At 42.9% G+C, this 20,332-nt stretch overlaps 2 protein-coding genes across 9 annotated transcripts in view; one reads left to right on the top strand and one right to left on the bottom strand.

The window, feature by feature from the left end:
• The window catches only part of DOCK2 (dedicator of cytokinesis 2), a 446,108-nt gene that overhangs the window by 143,589 nt on the left and 282,187 nt on the right, over window positions 1-20,332 (bottom strand). Inside the window, exon 28 of one of the 5 annotated variants that reach the window (XM_011534449.3) lies at window positions 4,923-5,142. The exons of 2 other annotated variants lie outside the window; for them this stretch is intronic. In XM_011534449.3, the coding sequence (XP_011532751.1) occupies window positions 5,068-5,142 (75 nt within the window). In that variant the 3' untranslated portion in view covers window positions 4,923-5,067. Of the gene's footprint in view, window positions 1-4,922; window positions 5,143-5,177; window positions 7,746-10,036; window positions 18,424-20,332 lie in introns of those variants that run through there. 2 more of the 5 variants (XM_017009190.3, XM_011534451.3) reach the window with 2 other exon arrangements.
• INSYN2B (inhibitory synaptic factor family member 2B) overlaps window positions 1-20,332 on the top strand; it is a 119,193-nt gene that overhangs the window by 40,702 nt on the left and 58,159 nt on the right. The gene's annotated exons all lie outside the window — the stretch shown is intronic.

Below are 20,332 nucleotides of genomic sequence, written 5' to 3'. Positions count from 1 at the left end.
TATTTTTTAGGGACCTTAATATAGAGCTGAGTTCCTTATAAGAACTTTAAGTATATTAATTTTATATGAAAACATATATATACATGCATAATGACGTCTCAGTCAATGACGGAATGGAGCTGAAAAATTCCTACCTCCTAGTGGCATCGCACCCATCCTAATGTCATAACACAATGCATCACTCACCTATTTGTAAACTAACATACTGTGCTGCCCGTCATATAAAAGTACAGCACACACAATTACATACAGCACATAATTGACAATAATAATAAACGACTGTTACTGGTTTATGTATTTACTATATCATATTTTTTATCACAGTCTAGAGTGTATTCCTTCTACTAATAAAAATTAACTATAAAACAGCCTCAGGCAGGTCCTTCAGGACATATTCCAGAAGAAGGCATTGTTATAGGAGGTGACAAATTCATGAATGTTATTGTCCCTGAAGACCTTCAATGAGACCAGATGTGGAGGTGGAAGACAGTGATAGGGAGGGTCCTGACCCTGTGTAGACCTAGGCTCCTGTGTGTGTTTGTGTCTTAGTTTTTAACAAAAGAGCTTAAAAAGTTTAAAAAAAAAAAAAAGGCCGGGCACAGTGGCTCACGCCTGTAATCCCAGCACTTTGGGAGGCTGAGGTGGGCGGATCACGAGGTCAGGAGATCAAGACCATCCTGGCTAATGCGGTGAAACCCCGTCTCTACTAAAAATACAAAAAAATTAGCAGGGCGTGGTGGTGCATGCCTGTAGTCCCAGCTACTCCCGAGGCTAAGGTAGGAGAATGGCGTGAACCCAGGAGGCGGAGCTTGCAGTGAGCCGAGATCACGCCACTGTACTCCAGCCTGGGCGACAGAGCAAGACTCCATTTCAAAAAAAAAAAGAAAAGAAAAAAAAGAAAGAAAAATGCTTGTAGAATAAGGATATGAAGAAAGAAAATATTTTTGCACAGTTATACAATATTTGTGTTTTAAGCTAAGCGTTATTACAAAAGAGTAAAAAGTTAAAAAATGAAAAGTTTGTAAAGTTACACTCTGCTATGGTTAATTTTCTACTGATGAAGAAAAAATATTTTTAATAAATGTAGCATAGCCTAAGTGTACAGTGTTGATAGTCTACAGTAGTGTACAGTAACCATCCTAAGCCTTCACATTTACTCACCACTTACTCACTGATTCACTCAGAGCAACTTCCAAGCTCCATTCATGGCAAGTGTCCTGTACAGGTGGACCATTTTTTATTTCATACCATATTTTTGGCATGCTTTTTCTATGTTTAGAAAAACACATTACATTTACCAATGTGTTCTAATTGCCTACAGTATTCGGGAGAGTAACATGCTATACAGGTTTACAGCGTAGGAGCAATAGGCTCTACCTTATAGCCTAGGTAGTAGGTAGGCTCTCATCTAGCTTCGTGTGAGTACACTCTGATGTTCACACAATGAGAAAATTGCCTAATGATGCATTTCTCTTAACATATCCCCATCCTTAAGTGATGTGTGACTGTGTTTGGACACGGACATCCCAGGAAGAACACATTTACTTTTGTGCTAAAAAAAAAAAAAAGAAGAAAGAAAAAGAAAGATTTCTTTAAGGTGGCAGCTGTGCGGTAGCTGTAAACTTTTCTTGAATAGACTGCAAGCTTTAGAGAGGCAGGGAGCATTTTGTCTTGCAAGTATAACCTCCATGGCTGGTGCATGTTAGGCACACAATAGATGTGTACTGAATAAATGAATATGTGGCTCTTTCAAAACTTAATGGCTCCCAGGATTTCTGAGTTTTTACTGGCCTGAGTTTTCACTATCTGTCTGGCCATACCTGGGGGTGATGTCCACCTCCTGTTACACTGCAAAGGCCTGGAGAGGATGTGAAAGACAAAGAAGGGAGGCTGGAAAGGCAGAATGGAGAAAGGGACCCACCACTCACGTGAGAGAAGAAATATTTGATTTCAGTGTTGTCAGTGACCAATAGAATGATCCATGCCTTTAGGTCTAGGGTCCAGGGACAATGAGGACCCTCAGGACCTTCCCTTGAGCAGCTTGCCAGCCAGGAGAGCAGTTACTACTGGGCAAAAGTGTTACTAAATGAGAATTTAGAAGAATAGACAAAATAATAATAAATACTCTTTATCCATTTGTAAAATTAAAATAATTATATCTCCCTCATAGGTTGTTATGGGATTAAACAAGTTAATATAGATAAAGAACTGAGCACAGAGTCTAGAACATATAAGTACTCAATATATGTTCCTATTATCATTGCTTTTACTAATCTCATTAGCCTTTTATTGAACACTTACTATGTGCCAAGCACAGATAAGCGTGCAGCATCTTACCTAATTCTCACAGTCTCAGGAGATAGTCTTTGTATCATCCCTATTTTACACTTAAGAAAATCATAGGCCAGGGATGTGGGAAGTATCTATTCAAGGTTGCACACCCAGGGAACCATAGATCCAAGGTGCAGCCCAAGTCTACGGGTTGGCAAACTTGTTCTCAAAGGGTCAGATTTTTTTCTTAAAGGGCCAGATAATAAATGTTGAAGGCTTTTCAAGCCATAAGGTCTCTGTCACCACTACTCAACTCCTCAAATTTTTGATGGTGGTTTGAAAGCAGCTCTGGACAACTATACAAAGAAATAAGCATATCTGTGCCGCAGTAAAACTTTATTTACAAAAACAGGCAGCTGGCTGGAAGTTTGTTGAAGGAGTCACCTACCAATTACTCTGCCCAGAAACTGGTCAGCCCCTCCCTCCTCACCAAATACCCAGCCTCTCCTCCACAGTGTTCAAGCTACCATTTTTGCAAAGCAGTGGCAGGAGAGGTGGTGGGAAACCCAGTCTGGGATTGAGAAGCTTTGTTTGATTTTTCTGTAAGTATGTTTGAATTATTAAGTGTCTGGCTCATTAAGTGAAGGGTGTCGTTATAATTCTATCACAAGAGACAAAATTGTTATTTAAATTGAGTTTTGTCAATTTAGCTAATTTACTAAGTGGGCATTGCCACGTCTTAATTAGTATCCTCTGATCAGAGATTATTCATGAGGACAGTGCAGTGTTGGTGCACCAAATCTATATAGGCTGGAGCGCGCCCCCCAGGAGGAGGTTTTTGCTCTCTGGGGAATGCTAGATTCTGTAATGGATCAGTAGCCACACTGGTTTCTCCAGTGAAATCCAAGGATCTGCTAATTCATAAAAAAAAAAAAAAAAAAAAAGGAGTCTGAGAATCACCAATGATTCTCCCCAACATGCCCATCGAAATACACACAGGATAGAATAGATGTGTTTATTCATTTTGATTATCTTATAATCAGCTGTTTCCCTCCCTGGGTACTGGATCTGCTATTGACTAGCTGTGATACCTTTGAGAATCACTTCACTTCCTGGATCCTCAGTTTCCTCTCCTAAAATGGCCAGATAAGTTCAGAGTTTGAGGATGAGGAATAACCGTCCTAAAATGTTTTGCCCTAGGAACCCACTGCCCTTGCTGCAGCCTAGCCCCATCTCTGTCGTTGAAGCACGGACATTATCTTGTCTGTAGAACCATGCACGGAAGTGTTATCACGCTTGGGCCTCAAAAATGCCTCTGCTTCTATGGATTAATTCTGTGTGTAGTCAAAATGCAAATATTGTTGATTTTGTTCTCCATCTCCTCAAGGGCAGACAGGTGGTTTTGTTACATTTTCTAACAAGTGGGGAACGATTTTGTTTTTATTGGCAAAAATACTTAGGAAACAGAAACAGACTTCTTTACAGTTGTTCCCCCCACCGCCATGCCACCTCCCCAAGAAAAAATTTATGTTAACTTCCTAAAGGCTGTGTACCTGGCCTTTTATTAGTTGTGGTTAGAGACAGGAAACTGTAACCATTTGAGGATGTAGCTGATAGAGAATGTTGTTTTCTTCCTGCTCTGTGGAGTAAATGCCATTCCTAATTATTATTTATCTGTAGGACTTTTGAGTTATAATGTCTCGTTCTACCAGAAATGTCTGATTTTTTATATTTTTACACAACGCGTTTTTTCTCCTATGAAGTCAGTGTACTGTGCACAACTTGACAAGTTTTAAGACATAATGTAGCAGTTGAAGCTCTAAGCAAAATAGCACAGTGATGAAGGATGACTTCACCGCATCGGCAACGTTCATCACCACCTCACTATGAAGACCTTCATTTCACCGCAAAGTAGGTAGGACGTGATAAAACTCCGACTTCTCCACCAGCATGTCTTGGTGCTGGCTTCTTAATAGTCTCCCAAACCTTGACCTGATATCCGAATGGCTGCTGTCCAGAGGTGGCAGTGGTTTTAGAAATCAGCTCTCAACCCGAACTCCACCATTAAGTTGACAGTTCAGCATGTCAGATTTTGGTGACTTAGCACACAAGAAGAGAAAGAAAGCTAGGGCATTCTAGGCCTCTGCGATGGTTCCATGGGAGCAGAAGGGCGCAAGTGAGATTCAGTTTCCCTACACAGGCATGGGAGATGAGACCTTTTTTTGGTCGAGTTAAAGCTTTGATCTGATAATGTACAAAAGAGAGGATCTTGGCAGTGACTCACAGCAAACAGTGTACAAATTTACTCAGAAACGGCAATGGCATGCTGCTCTGCAGACTGTCTTTATACACAGCTGCTCCCTCCAATTAAGAGGGCTCTCCACAGTGCTGGCCAGTCCTTCTATCCAAATCTTGCCACGCTGTCTTCACTGCTGCTTAGCTTCCTGCCCACGTGGACTCCCTCTCCAGTGCTCTTTCTATTAATTTTCCCGCCTTCCCAAGAATCTTAGATGGCTGCAGTCAGTATGTTGGCTGCTAACGTTTGCATTCTAGCTGATATTGTATCCAGCATAGCACAATCACTTTCTATACTACTTTCTCAGGTCATTGTTGTTTAATCAGAATAAATATCAAGTGTAAGGTGGTTAAAGTTGTTTTGGCAATGTATAATGCTTTATTTACCTATTTGCAGATGACACTACAATCAATTTATCATACAGATAATAATGAAACTAACAATAAGGATTGCATGATAACTAGCATTTACTGAGCACTGATCCCGTGAGCAGCCCTGTGCTAACCCTTGGCAGATACTATCACATTTAATACTCCGTAGCACCCAATCGGTTCAGTCCTATCATCAGCTGCATCCTAGAAAGGAAGGAGACAAGACTTAGCAAGGGGAAGTATCTTGCCCAAGGTCAGACAGCCTGGAAGCAAAGAGCAGGATTTAGATCCAGGTGTGTGTGAATGTAGCGCATACAATTAGGCTGGAAGAAATGTGGGTGCTGATAAGCATTCCATCTCCTAGCATATGTGCATGCACCTCTTACTACAAAACCAGTGTGGTGTGGGCACTGGGGACACCCTGCCCTTGAGGGTTTGTGATTCACGGGCATGCGGATAGGTAAATTAGTGGGAACAACACAGGGTGGTATTGGCTATGATCCACTCCGGGGACAACTACCAAAGTACCTAGGAGGGGAATGCAAATCAGCCCAGGAAATCAGAGAAGTCTTCCCGGGTAAATACAGTAGAAGGGACTCTTCTTGTTCCAAGGAATTCACAATCCAAGTCCACTGTTATTACGTGAACAATAAAGCAAGTGGCATAAGCCCCGCCCCAGTACCTGATTACTGCCAACCCCTAATTGGGAACACTCAACCCCCTGCCTCAGCAGTTCTCAACCCCACAGCTACCTCCCACAGACATGAGGTGTGCTACAAATGTGACCACTGATCAATGAGCAGTATGGATCAAGGGAAGATTGGCATGCTCTGCCCTAAATGCTTAAACCTAACATTAGCAATAGATGCCGGTCCTGCTGAGTGAAGAAAAAGACAAAAAGGCACATGAGGTTCCTAAGTCAGTAGCATTAATGGCGACACCAGTAGTTTGTTCAGGAAGTGCTGCATGTCCCCTGGAGCACGCTCTGTTCATTTCTCTCTGGTTACAGTAAGTCTGGACGCCAGCCACCCCTCATGCATTCCCCACCTCATAAATCTGCATGTTGAAAGAAATCCAAGAAGGGAAGGCAAAGGTTGGCAGCTGCCTGGAAGTCTGAGAAGTGGGTGTCTGACCCCAAAACTGCTTGAAGGCTGATACACACAGGTACTCTCTTAGTGCGGCCAGTAAGGTCCCCTGACTTCTACAGCTGTTACTCCTCACAAGGAAGGAGGCCGAACGAAGGAAGAAAAGGGAAGGAGCTGGACTAAAGATTCATTGTTTCTGAAAAGTGGGCAAATAAGCAGCCTCCTTCCCCAGGTGAATGCAGTATCAATATTAACAACAAAACACAGTTCTGAATTTATTTATGCAGACTCTTGATGCTCAGGATAATGACTGATTTACCAGAAAGAGCTCTTCTATAGCAGCCACTCTCAATCTTTGCCTTCACATTAGAAGGACCTTGGATGCCAGCCCATCTCACAAACTAATGAAATCATATCCTTAGGGGTGGGGCACCGGTATCTGTATTTGATTAGCCCCAGGAGATTGCAATGTGCAGCCAGGGCTGACAGCCACTGTCCTACAGGCTAACCTGATGCACTCCAAGTAGGGGAAGCTACTAGTAAACAGAACCTGATTTCCATGGTGACATATCATTCATCTCCTCTCTCTTTCAGGGTACACCAAAAGGTGAATTATTTAGTTTCTACACCCTTCTCCTTACCCTGTTTCAGGTGAGAGGGTCGGGAGTAAGGGCATCTCTCTTACTTAACGACTGTAGGATAGGTGGAAAGGCAATGATATAATTTTGCCTGCCAATACCTGCCGGAGAAACCATTTCTTTGCAGAGAATGGCAGACAGAGGCAGAGTGTGCTAAGAAGTTAGAAGGGCTTGACGGTGGGAGGAAGAGATAGGCTTTTTTATAGAACTGCTACAGTTTGAGGATGCAGGATTGGTACTAGAATATTCTTGTAGTTATTTTTTTTTATTTGGCCCTGGGAAATTATGATATCACATCTCTTTTTTAAAAAGACAAGGAAGCCACTATTTATTTGTAAACACTATGCATAGGTGAGTGTTTGTATATTTATAGGAAAGGATCAGAGAGGATTCACATTTCCCTTCTAATATAAGTCACTTCTGGAGACTGGAATATAGGGAACAGGGAAAGAGCCTTGGGTTTTCTCCTTACATGTGTTTATAAGGTTTGGATTACTTAAAACAACAAACATACAAATCCAGCCTGGCCCTCACCTTGTGGTCAGTGTCAAGCGTCCCAGGTCTAAAAAACCCAAAACTGACGGCAAAAGCATCAGTGAGGCATGCAGATTGTTCCTGAGGCTCCATGAGGACACCCAGAAGCATGTTCCATCAACTGAGAGATCTCCAAAGCCTCCCTCTCTCTTGCCACATGGCAGCTGCCATCTTCCTTCCCCATTCTCTCCCTACTTCATGTCACCTACCTGCCTTTTCCCCTTTTCTTCCTCAACTACTCTGCAGCGGGTATAGTTCCAACCACTTCCTACCTCTTAGATCCCACTCCATGCAGTCCCTTCATATGAGTGAGTGTCCCCCTCACTCAGTGCTCCTTCCTCATAACAGGGCTCTGTAAACTCAGGGACCCACCCTCCTTACTCTGTGTGTGTGTGCAGGTGATGCTAAAAATCAGATACTCACCGTTGATGTTAATAGGCTTCTGTCACCTCCATCATATGCTCTTACGCCACTTTATCTCACTATATAGCAGTTATCGCCACTGGATGTTGTATCTTCTTTGTTTACTGCATCTGTGCCTAACTCCCCACTAAAATATAAGCATCATGAGGTCAGGACTCTGTTGGGCTTATGGCTGTATTCCTAGCACCTAGAGCAGTTCCTGGCAGGCAGCAGGCTCCAGAGGTATTTGTTGAATACATGAATGAGTGAATGAATGCATGATATTTTCCCTGACCCACAGTGAAGAAAGAGGAACATAGAGAAGGGCAGGCAGGAGGGAAGCAGTTCAGAAGGCTATGATCCCTGGAGGAAGGATTCCTGTTATTTCTGGGGCTAGCTGGGAATTGTCCTCTGGGCCACTTGGCTGTGCTTCCATCTCCTGGAAGCACAGTGCCAGCCACCTTCTCCCATGTGAGCTACTGTGCTAGGAACTTCACCTTCCTCACTTATAACCCTCACCACCATCTCACACAGCAGCATTAGCCCAGTTTCACAGACAAGGAAGCAGGCTCAGAGATCTTGTGTCAGTTTGCCAAAGTCAAACAGCGAATAAGTAACTGAAATGAAATTAAAACCCGAATTGGTCTGACCTCCCACCCCAAAACAACTTTCCACAAAACGATACCACCTCATAAAATAACCACATCTAATTTTATATGCCAGGAACTTAGTGCACTTGGATAGGTGGAAAGAGTTTCTTCAAAGAAGTCTGAGGGTTCAGGCGAACGGGAGAAGTGTTCAATTGCCGAGAGGCGGCAATATCAAGGCAAGCCCTTTGAGAGACGCTGGTGTTTGTGTTCTTCCCACTGACCCACTGTTGGAAGTAAGACCTGTACTTTGATGGCTTTGTCAGCAACTGGGCTGGGTTGAGCCAAGCCTTCCTCACTCTCCTGGTCGTCTTTGGGATGCACATGTATTTGTAAGATGGTTTCCTAGAGCTGGGCTCTGTAGGAAGGTAACTTTCATGACTCAAAATATCCCAGACAATGCTTAATCCTAAGATCAAGGGTGTTAGTAGCATCATTAGTTTGGCCAATGAGTCAACCAGTCAAGCAAAGCCACTTTATCTTTACCTGGAGGAAAACAACTTCCCACAAATCCACTTTTCCTAGCTTAGAAACTCCCCTCTGTCTGGCACACACATGAGTACCTGCCATGGCTGTGCAGGAGCACCTTGTAAAAGGGACTGGCCCATGACATGTGATGAGGATGCTTTTCCTTGGGACAGGTATCCTTTATTGTATTTATGTGTATGGCTAATTTGTTGTGAATGTGAGAAGAAAATGAAGTGCAACCCCCAATGAAGAGCTGAAAGCATAAGAAAAGAAACCAAGAGAGATGGTTTCTCAACAACCTGGAAATGGAGGCTCACCCACAGTGCCTTCCACCCGACTCTCAAAGGGCGAAGATGTAGACTGCAGTGAGAGAAGCAACCCTTCTTGAAATTAATAATTCAAGGTAAAATTACAAAACTTAATTGCTCCCTGTCAGCCGCAGCTCATCCTTGTCTACCGTTATTTTGCACAAATTGATTTGGCAGCCACCACATTCATTTTTAAAGGACTTTCTTATTATCTATAGCCTGTTAATATGTTCATTCTTCACCCTTGTAAGTAATTCCAGGCAGATTTTTACTCATTTACCATGAATGAAGCTCACATTTCAGAGGAGAAGGGAAATTGTCCAAGAAATGTCATCCCAGAGGACACACATTACCCTAAGAGGCTCTGAGGTCCCTCGAGCCCAGACAACCCCAGTCGTGAGTGCATAAGGAGAACTAAAGCCAGAGTGTCTTCTGAAGTCCTGCTTTAACCATCACCCATATGTGGTTATTTAAATTTAAATTAGGCCAGGTGCGGTGGCTCAAGCCTGTAATCCCAGCACTTTGGGAGGCCGAGGCAGGCGGATCACAAGGTCAGGAGATTGAGACCATCCTAGCCAACATGGTGAAACCCCCATCTCTACTAAAATGCAAAAAATTAGCTGGGCATGGTGGAATGCACCTGTAGTCCCAGCTACTCGGGAGGCTGAGGCAGGGGAATCACCGGAACCCAGGAGGCAGAGATTGCAGTGAGCTGAGATCGTGCCACTGCACTCCAGCCTGGTGACAGAGCAAGATTCTGTCTCAAAAATAAACAAAATAAATAAATAAATAAACAAATAAAGTTCTATTCTTCAGTCACATTAGCCCTATTTCAATGTTTAATATGTTTAATATGCATATGTTTAACAGGCATGTGTGGCTAGTGGCTACCATATTGGAGCACAAAACAAGGAGCACAAAACAAGATTTCTATCCTCATATAAGGGTCTATAGGAAAGTGCTAGGTCAAGCTTTCAGACTCCAGCAGGATAGCTTCTTTCTCTCTCTCTCTTTTTTTTTTTTTTTTTTTTTGAGACAGGGTCTCACTCTGTTGCCCAGGCTGGAGTGCAGTGATCCCCTCTTGGCTCACTGTGACCTCCATATCCCAGGCTTGAGTGATTCTCCTGCCTCAGCCTCCGAGTAGCAGGGACTACAGGCATGTGCCACCACACTCAGCTAATTTTGTTGTTGTTGTTGTTGTTAGAGACAAGGTTTCATCATGTTGCCCAGGCTGTTTTCAAACTACTGGGCTCAAGCAATCCTCCCCCCTCAGCCTTCCAAAGTGCTGGGATGACAGGCATAAGCCACCACACCTGGCCACAGGATGACTTCTTACCATCTTATCTCATCCCATGGCAAGATAAGCTAGGAGTTCTGTATATCGTTTGCCGGGATTCGCTTTGTGGAAAATCTACGTGTAAAAAGCTATGGGATTTGTCTGAGTCTTACCCATGTGAGATGAACTTGTTGGTGTCAATGGGGAAAGGAAAGAGAAATGTTTACCATATGGCCAAGGATGGTGGAGGAAGAGATTGGAAAATACTGGCCCTTGGGGCTTTGGCTTATAAATGTGTCATGACTTGAACTTGAAAACACCTTTAACCCCCTGCTATGCCTAAGTGCTATGTGCGTGGGCTTCCTGCATAGGCACTCTGGTTCCCTTTCAAGGCAGGGCATGACAGAACTTCAGTCTACCTGGCCAGCTGTGGGCCCAGGTTGACCTCAAGCTTTCCATCTGCTCTTCTCAGGGCACAAAGATGAACAGAACACATAGCTCCTCCTCATCCTACATGTTTGGCCTTTTAGTCTATCTCAAAGCAAGCTTTGGCATAATTAATAGCGCAGTTATCTGCTAATTATTCCACTATTCAAGCAGGAACAGAAACACCCAGGGCATAGAGTGAGCATCATGTGCACAATTAATAATTTTCATCACTGAGTAATTACTTGTGTAGTATTTAACCTAATAACATTAGATCTGCATTATTGGGCTGTGGTTGCTATTTTCTTCCACCCACTCATTCCTGTATAACTGTTCTCTATGAAGGTGTCATAACTTGTTGAGAAATCATATTTTTTTCTAATGCTTTACGCTTCAACAGTTTGGATGTATTTAGATCTCTCTGCCTCTTTTAAAAGTTTGTCTCCTGCTAGGCCTCCATGACACTGTCCTTTCCATGCTTTCTTGGCCTCTCTTTTGGATGGACGATGCTTCATGTCACTCACTGGTTTTGGCCTCCTGCTCAGCAAGGTTACTCCCGTAACTTGGATTCACTCTCAGCAGCACTGATGCATGGGGAAGCGAGGAGGCTGGCTCTGGTAGAACTAAGGCTGGGGAACCTGCCTGACTACGTGAAAACAGCGGGGCATTCTGGGGCAGAGCAGTGCAAACCCAGACCTGGTTCATTCAGGTGGAGATAGGGCATCCCTGGTAAGGCAGCACTGCCACTGGTCAGAACAGGGCAAGAACAGACTGGGCAAGAACAGGCTGGCCCACCGAGGGCCATCTGGTGTAAGACCTGTGGCAGCAATAACTGTAGACCCCTCCTGCTGGTGCATTGAGGCTGCTGTCAATATTGGTTTGGCCTTGGGTGGGGCAAGTCAATGAGGTGGCTGATCCTGAGTTGCAGGGGGAAGGGTTTGGCTGGGAAGGCCTGAAGGAACCCCAGGTTGACAGTATCTTATCCTGCTTCTGTGGACTTTCTCCCTGATATTTGTACCCTCTCTACCACCTGTTTAAGAAAAAATGCATACACACACATGGATCTGTGAGTTAATTCCCACACCTACTGAAACCCAAGGAAGATTCCTGCTGGTTATACCATCTCATCATCCAGCCCTGAATAAAGAATTTTTCGGGCCGGGAGCAGTGTCTCATGCCTGTAATCCCAGCACTTTGGGAGGCCGAGACGGGTGGATCATGAGGTCAGGAGATTGAGACCATCCTGGCTAACACAGTGAAACCCCATCTCTACTAAAAATACAAAAAATTAGCCAGGCGTGGTGGCGGGCGCCTGTAGTCCCAGCTACTCGGGAGGCTGAGGCAGGAGAATGGCATGAACTCGGGAAGCGGAGCTTGCAGTGAGCCAAGATTGTGCCACTGCACTCCAGCCTGGGCGACAGAGCGAGACTCCGTCTCAAAAAACAAGAATTTTTCCTATATGTTTTACCTCCTGATCACACAGGACTGTACCTTTAGAATTATCTTTGATTCTTTTCCCTCTTTAACCCTACACTCCATCAGTTACTAAGTCCTGCAAATTAATTATATGAAACATCCTTCTGTTAGGGTTCTCACTGCCTTACAGCAGTGGTTCTCAAAGTCTGGTCTCTGGCCCAGTAGCATCGGCACCACATGCAAACTTATTAGAAGGTCCCCATCTCTAGGGATGGGGTCCAGCAATCTCTATTGAATCTCCAGGTGATTCTGATTCATGATAGAGCTTGAGAACTCTGCCTTGCATTACAACTCAACCCCCTTACTGTGGCCTACAAGGCTCTAGAGGATCTGGCTGCTTCTACCTCTCCGAATTCATCTGAAGCTGCTTCCCTTCTCTCATGACTCTCCAGCCAGGGGCCTTTTTTCAAGTCCTGGAAAGGGCCGAGATCTTCCCATCTTGAACTTTTGCAAATGTTTGCTCCTCCAGCTGGAATGCTCTTCTGCTCTTTTGCTCTTCCCACTCTTCATGTAGCATATTTATGAAGAATATACCATATTGGTCTGGCACCCTGGGAAGCACTTTATATGGCTTTAATTCTTAACACAAATGTCAGAGAGATGTTATCCTTGGCCATCCCACCTAAAGTAGCCAGCCTCATTTCTGCCCCAAGCTTTAGTTCTTCCCTATTCTGCTCCTTGTTTTGTATCATAATTTACAATTATTTTTCATGTACTGGTCTTTTTTTTAGAAGACCTAGAGGGAGGGACATTGTCTAGTTCATCCTGTGTTTCCACTGCAGTGCCTGAGATGCAGTAAAAGCTCAATAAGTAACTAGTTGCTAAATGAATGCATCCAGCCAAACTTCACCTCTAGTTACAGAGTCACAAGCCTTAAAGGCATTGGTTTGTTTTTCTTTAAATAATCTTTGAGGCCCCCTCTAGTCCTATGCCATGGTAAGTGGGTGACGTATGGCATAATGCATTCTAATGCATTCTTTGCTTAAACCCTATTCTGTCCTGCCTGAGTGAGCTGATGTGCCACATCACTGCCCCCACCTTCCAGCCTCATGCGGCACCCAGATTCATCTTTCTCAGTCATCATGTTCACAAAGCTTTCTTTGAACATGGCCACCTGAGCTCACAGAAGATCAATGCAGACCATAATCCGAGGCTCATGTGATCAGGGAAAAGGGCCTATTTGTTAACAGTAATGCCAGCATGTATATGGCAGTTGAAAAAGGTAGAGGATAAGAAGTTCATTTTTCAGACATTCATCAAAAGTAAGAACAGTGCCATCCTATGCAAAGCGACAATATTTCCCAAACAGCAAGTAAGGAGCAGGGTCTGCAGGTGGCAGGTGAGAGACAATCAGGTGAGTGGCTTCCCCGTGGTCCCCAAGTCAGGCACTGGGCCTGCGTCTACCTATCCACATCCATGCCGACTATAGGAACTCCTACTCCTGGATCCCTTTGGCCTGACTGGCTTCCCAGATCTATGTTTTCCCACAGCATCCCACTTGTCTCTAAGAGAGAAATTCTCTTTTCTAAGCTCAGCTCTAAGCAATGGACTCAGAGACTAACCAGAGCTGACGACATCCTGCCATGGAATGAGGGGTGTGTTGCGAGCTCCTGGGCACACAGTTATGCTCAGAGATGATACTCACAAAGCCCCTTTAAGAATTTCCCTAGAGTCTCTGCGGGAAACACAAGACCTAAAACAGGCCCAGCTGCCAGGGAACATCTTCTCCCCAGGGAACCAGAAATTGTTAAATTCCAGAAACAGTGATAATAGCAGCAATAGATAATATGTATGAAGGACTCACCATTATTGGTCTGGCATCCTGGAAAGCACTTTACATGATCTCTTTTAATGCTCCCAACACACAACCCTATATGACAGGTGCTATTGTCACTCCGTTCTACAGATGAAGAAACTGAACTACAGAAGTCCCACAGGTCACACAACCAATCAATGGCAGAGCTGCTGGGATTACACCCCAGGACAATGCTTTTTTTTTTTTTTTTTTTTTTTTTTAAGACAGAGTCTTGCTCTGTCGCCCAGGCTGGAGTTCAGTGGCCTGATCTTAGCTCATTGCAATCTCCACCTCCTGGGTTCAAGCGATTCTTCTGCCTCAGCCTCCCAAGTAGCTGGGATTACAGGTGCACAACACCACGCTCAGTTAATTTTTGTAATTTTAGTAAAGATGGGGTTTCACCATGTTGGCCAGGCTGGTCTTTAACGCCTGACCTTGTGATCTGCCCACCTCAGCCTCTCAACAAGACGATGCTCTTACCAGGACCCATCTGTCCTAGGGTCTTACCTGCAGGGTTTCAGTCACCTGCCCTCAAGGCAGGTTTGACTTCTCCACTTTACAGATAAGGAAACTGAAGCTAAGCTAGGGCTGCCTGACTGAACTAGTCCTCAGCTCCCTACTACAGAGTCCCCTTTCCCCTCTTTACCATGTATTACACTTTTTGGCCTTCCATAAAAAGAACAGATGAATGGGGGGTTGGGGTGGATAGTGAAGAAAAAGAATAATAGAGAAAGAAAAATTAAAAAGGAAAAAGGGAAGTCTAATATTATTGATGATTTAATTACTTGAGTCAATACTCTGAAACAAAACTGAAAACTGGTTGACAAGATTGGAACATCCCCAGGAAGACTGGGAGAAGCAATTGTGCCTGGACACACACTCCCATTTTCATTTCTGGGGACTTCTAGAGGAAGTAGTTATCAGGGAAGTCACAAATTGAAAAACTGCAGCTCAATCTTTGACAATATGCCTACCTACCCATGTGCCAGGCCAAAGAGCGTCCCAGGATACTTCAGATTGATGAAAAAAGAAAAGAAAAGAAGGGTTGGAAAAGAAATGTCCTGTTAATTATTCAACTTTCAGCCCTCCTTCAAAAAAAGCCTCTCAGATCTGCTTTAATGGCAGAGGGGAATCTCCATTTTTTAAGCAGGATGGGGTTGCTAATAGGAAGTCTTAGTTTGTTCAAATGAACTTCAGCATGATTGAATAGCTCTGAAGAGATGAGATGGGTGTTCAGTGAGAGTCTAAATTGCTACCCAAGAAGCAGCCAAAAGATCATCAAGATTCTCAGATTCCTAATTCTTCTCAGGAACAAATAAATGAGAAAAGTCCTTTCTACTGGAGAAAACACAACAGGGAAATGTGATTTGCTGACAGGATGGTTGGAGGAAGTAAAATGGGCCTTTGGATACCAGGAAACTGACTAAAAAGAGGTTAGACTTTTAGGGAGCAAAGGTGACAGGGAAAGAGTATGAGGACAGAGACTTCCTATTTATTTTGAAAATATATGTTTGAAGCTTGATGTCTCTTGGCCTGACCTCATTTACTCCCAGCTCAGGGCCAGAGCTAGTGTGTGTGGCTGGTGTAACTCAACCCAGTACCAACTTGTCAGATGGCTGTGGTCCCCTGGGACTTTCCAGGCACTGTGCAGGGAGAAGCAGACTGGGAGCATGCAGGTGCCTCTGCCTCTGGATTCCAGGGGGCACAGCAGGGCAGGGAGGAAGAGGGTGGCAGGAGGAGACAAGGGGCATCAGCTAATTACCAATTACCAGGCCCTTTGCAAACACAAAGCCTCCACCTGAATGATAAACGTTATTAATCCAGCTCCATTTTGCCAACCGCAATGTTTCTACTTGCAAATTTAGAGAATTCTCCAAGGGAGCAGCAGATTGCTTATCCCACAAAACTTCCATCTTAGCTCATATACTGACTGGCTGAGGCCTGCAGGATAAAATTCTCCTTGGCAAACTATCTACAACACAAGTTGCATAACATCTATGCAAATAACAGAGAAGAGAAACTTTAAGAAACATGCCATATATGTTTTTACCTAAACACAGTTACTCACATTTTTAAGGCACTTTAAAACTTATAAAATACATGCATATTCAGTGCCTTACTTAGTCCTATTAACCTTCTTTGAAGCAATATTATCCTTCTTTTATCAGATGAGAAAACAGTGGCTCAAAGAGGGATAGAGACGTGCCCAAGGTCACAATAGAAATGTGCAAAAAGGAATGAATATGGGCCTACAGATAAATTTCTGGCTCAAAATTCCCCTGCAAAGAGTGTGTGTGTGTGTGTGTGTGTGTGTGTGCCCACGTGCATGCACACGCACGCATGTGCTGCTAACAAATAGGTTGCTAATAAGTCAGCATCAACATCTATAAAGGCTGAAATCCTATACTAGAGCCAATGTGTTTTCTGCGTATGCCCCTTCATTATTAGGAAAGTAACACATAAATATTGTAGGAAATTTAGGAAATATATGAAAGTACAAAGAAAAAAGTAAAAACCATTCATATAAGCTTACCACCCAGACATCTCATGTTTACACCAAGAAAACATCTCAATCTGAATCACCCTCCATCCAGTTTTTCTACCCAGTCCCATGCTTGTGTAAACAGAGAATTTAGAAGGAGAAGGAACCCAGCACAGAGGTGAGGAGCATAGGCCTTGGAGCCTGAGAGCCTAGGCACAATCCTGGTTCCATGAGGTGGTGGCTCTGTGTCCCCCAGGGAATTATTTAGCCTCTGATATTAGTTTCCACATCTGTGAAATACGGTAAAATTATATCTGTCTGTGGGACCGATAAGAGAAATTCACAATTCGATATTTACAAAGTGCTTAGAAGCTTGCCTGTAATGACAATAAACACTGTACTGTACAGGTGTTTGTTAAATAAAGAGGTTATCTAACTTCAACATACAAATTTCAAGCTCCCTTTCAAAGAATTCCCCTTGGAAAACCACCCAGAATGTATCAGATACTCAAACAATGTAGGTTATATCCAATCAAACAGCTTTGCCTGAGGAGCTCTGTGGAATGAGACAGCACAATTTAAGGGAGATACAAGGGGTTAGGATCTGGCTCCAGCTCAAGTATACATTAAGCTGTGTGACCATATACAAATCACTTAACCTCTCTGAGCACTATAAATCTGTTAAATGAGGTAACTCCACCAGCTTAGAAAGATAATGTAGGTGATATTCTCTAAACTGCAAATCCTCAACCATTAACGGTTATTTTTCTCATTGTTGGTATTATTCAAAGGTGATGGCCAAGATCTACTTTACTTAGATAATTAAATGTATCAAGCCCAGTCTGGATACAATACCAAGGGAGTTCAGAAAGCTCTAAACTGACCAGGTGAATCAGTTCCAGATCTTCCAGCTAACTGCTGCAGTGCATAACATGATTTACATTACATTATTTTTATGTATTAACATTATTTCTTGGTATTCCAGATGAATATTATCAGGGGTTCTGCATAAATTAGGGCTCATCTTCTCTGAGCCTTCATCTTTTCCTCCATAAGATGAGATAATTCATTCTTTGGAAGCAATAAATACCTTTAGGCAATGTGCACACTGTACTGTAATTTTTTCTGGAGAGCTTCTTCCAAAAGCTGCACCCTAGCTATGCAAATATTGATGACTGACATTACTGCAGTTTATGTTAACGTTCTCTCTCAAATGTGGAATGGCATTAAGGCTAAAAAGAAAAGGAAATGAGCAGAATAGAAAGAAGGTATTTGAGTCATGGAAAAGCTCTTAAAATAATATTTGCCCAGGACCAGGATGTACATGGGATTCTGATAGACACAGATAAAAGTAATTCTCTCCTCCAACCTCTCTGGAGCATTTTTTTAAAAGATCATCTTTCTACTGTCAAGGGGCTATCACAGTATTATTTACTATGTTCCTTCAGTAAAAGGGTAAAATATTGTATTTGTGCACTATTCAATTGAGAAACTTAAAAGTTCGATTAAGAGCTCTGGGAGAAGACTGTCACAACACTGCTTACAGCCTGTTCTTATCAGTGGGCCCTAATCCTCAAGAAAGCAATCATTTCAATGTACTCCTGGGATGCAATCCCATCTCCAAAACTGGCTTCTCCCAAGTGCTCCTCTCCACAGCTCTGTAAGGGCTCTTTGATGAGGTGAAACTGGAAAACACTGGGTTAAACAAAGTTAAACAGACATCTTTACTGGATGCAGGAATGCTTAGAGCCACAGCAAATTCCTACGAAGAGGAGGAAAGAGGCAACATTTTCCAAATATTTGACTACAAAACTGTTGATCCACGTGCTTAGTGTTCCATGGAATGTGTTTGGGAAAATTTGGCTTGATTACAGTCTTCATCTTTAAAAGAATATCACAGCAGTCCTCAAAAATCTAGACTCATCGATTTTTCTGGAAGACCCCTATGCTGAGAAAGAACAATAACATAGTAAATACAAATAAAGATTATACAGATTTCCTATTCCTATATAGATTATGAGATTTCCTATATAATATTAGGAAGTGATGATCTTGAATATTCTAATCCAAAATCTTACATCAGGAGGAATACGGACTTAGTTCAAGTCACAAACACAAACACAATTTTCTGAGTACTTTCCCTATCCATCCAGACACTTTTCCAGGCTAACATTGCATTCATTCCTACTGACCATCACCCTACGTGCTTTTCCCTTATGGAAGCAAAACACTGGGATTGAGACTCTTTAAAAGAATTTCCAGAAGGAATTGGAAAATAACTGAGGAATAAAACATATTCTTGCAAAGGTAATTAGGAAAGTGCCCCCGTGGACTGAGGGAAGACCTAACAATATGAATCTCAGTTCATCTAATAAACTGTTTAACTATATTTTTTGACAATAAGAGCTGCTGATCTCTAGGAAAACAACTGCCCACTACTGGGCTTGGAGGAGATACAGGTGTCCTAGGGTGGAGGTCAGAAAGACAAGAAGAGCCATCCACATAGATCATGATAAGCTCAGCCATTCAGCTCTTAGGCTTTCCTGTAAGCCCAAAGGAAGGGCCAAGTTCCAGCTATAAATTAAATCTGCAGAGACGGGAGACGGGAATGAGCACAGAGCTGATGTGCTCTCTATGGCTACACTGTCCATCACCTGCCACTGGGGCTGAGCTATCACCTTTTATGACATCAGTGGAATTCTTGAGCTGAGTTACAGCCATGCCCTCTTTCCAAACCCATCAGTTATTCAATAAGTGATGTGTGACCTCTGGGAGTGGTGTGAATGGTGAGATCTCGGTTTGCATTTATCTCCCAAGTATGAGTGCCAGCCAACAAACTGTTGAGCCAAAAAGGAAGGGAAAAAAACCACCTTACAAACTTTGCCAAATCCACCTACTTTCTGGAATACTATCAACAACTCTCAGAAAGTATTTTGTTTTCTTCCCCTTGGTGTTTCTGAAATCAAAGTATGCAAATGAGTATCCACACTTCTAATTGCATATAATTACATCTTACATAATATTATATTTTATTGTGTTTAATTATGTTTTGAACATCATAATAACTGCATAATCATTATTATGGTGCCAGCAATATGGCATGGTGGTGAGGAGCTGAGTCTCTGAAGATGGACTGCCTGGGTTTGAACCTAGCTCTATCTTCTACGGTGTTACCCTCCCTGAGACGCTAAATCTCAAAAAGCCAATCTCTTGGTGTTTCTTTAACTATTCACCGGAGATAAAATCATTATCTCACAAAGTTGTGTTGTGGATTAAATGACATAATTCACGTAAAGTGCTGGGTTCTATATTCAACAACACGGACAACATGTATCACTAAAGTATGTGTTCATTAACACAAAGTGTAGTTACTTGGCATAATTTCAGAAAAATAAGAAAGGCAAAAATAAGTACAGTAAAATCCTTTCCACTAATACTAATCTGCTGGTTAATGTCTAAGTTTCCACCTTTAAAGCATCATCAAATTTAACTTCAGGTCCTGATCTCTATTAATATGCAAATACTCCAGGGAAGAATAAGGGTTTAGCTGCTTCCAGTTGCCCCCACATTAGCAGGTTTCGCGGGGACTCAGAGAATCGCCAGGGGAAAGGCCATGAGTGCACTGCTTACCAAAGGAAAGGCAATGACACAAACCAAAGCAAAAGACCCCACGATAACTGTCACAAAAATACGCCAGGGAAACCCTTCTCACCATACACTTACCACTTCTTCAAACCATTAATGATCAGTTTAATGTCCACATCAAAGAAATGCATGCTGGAGAATTAAGGTCAAAACAAAACCAGATGGTAGACTTCAGAGAATAAATCAGGTGGCTGCCAGCCTGGGGTCAATTA

This window comes from Homo sapiens, chromosome 5 (genome assembly GCF_000001405.40).
Source record: "Homo sapiens chromosome 5, GRCh38.p14 Primary Assembly".
Classification (NCBI taxonomy): Eukaryota; Metazoa; Chordata; class Mammalia; order Primates; family Hominidae; genus Homo; species Homo sapiens.
Note: the sequence above shows the minus strand (reverse complement) of the source record. Positions and strands in the feature narration are given on the sequence as shown.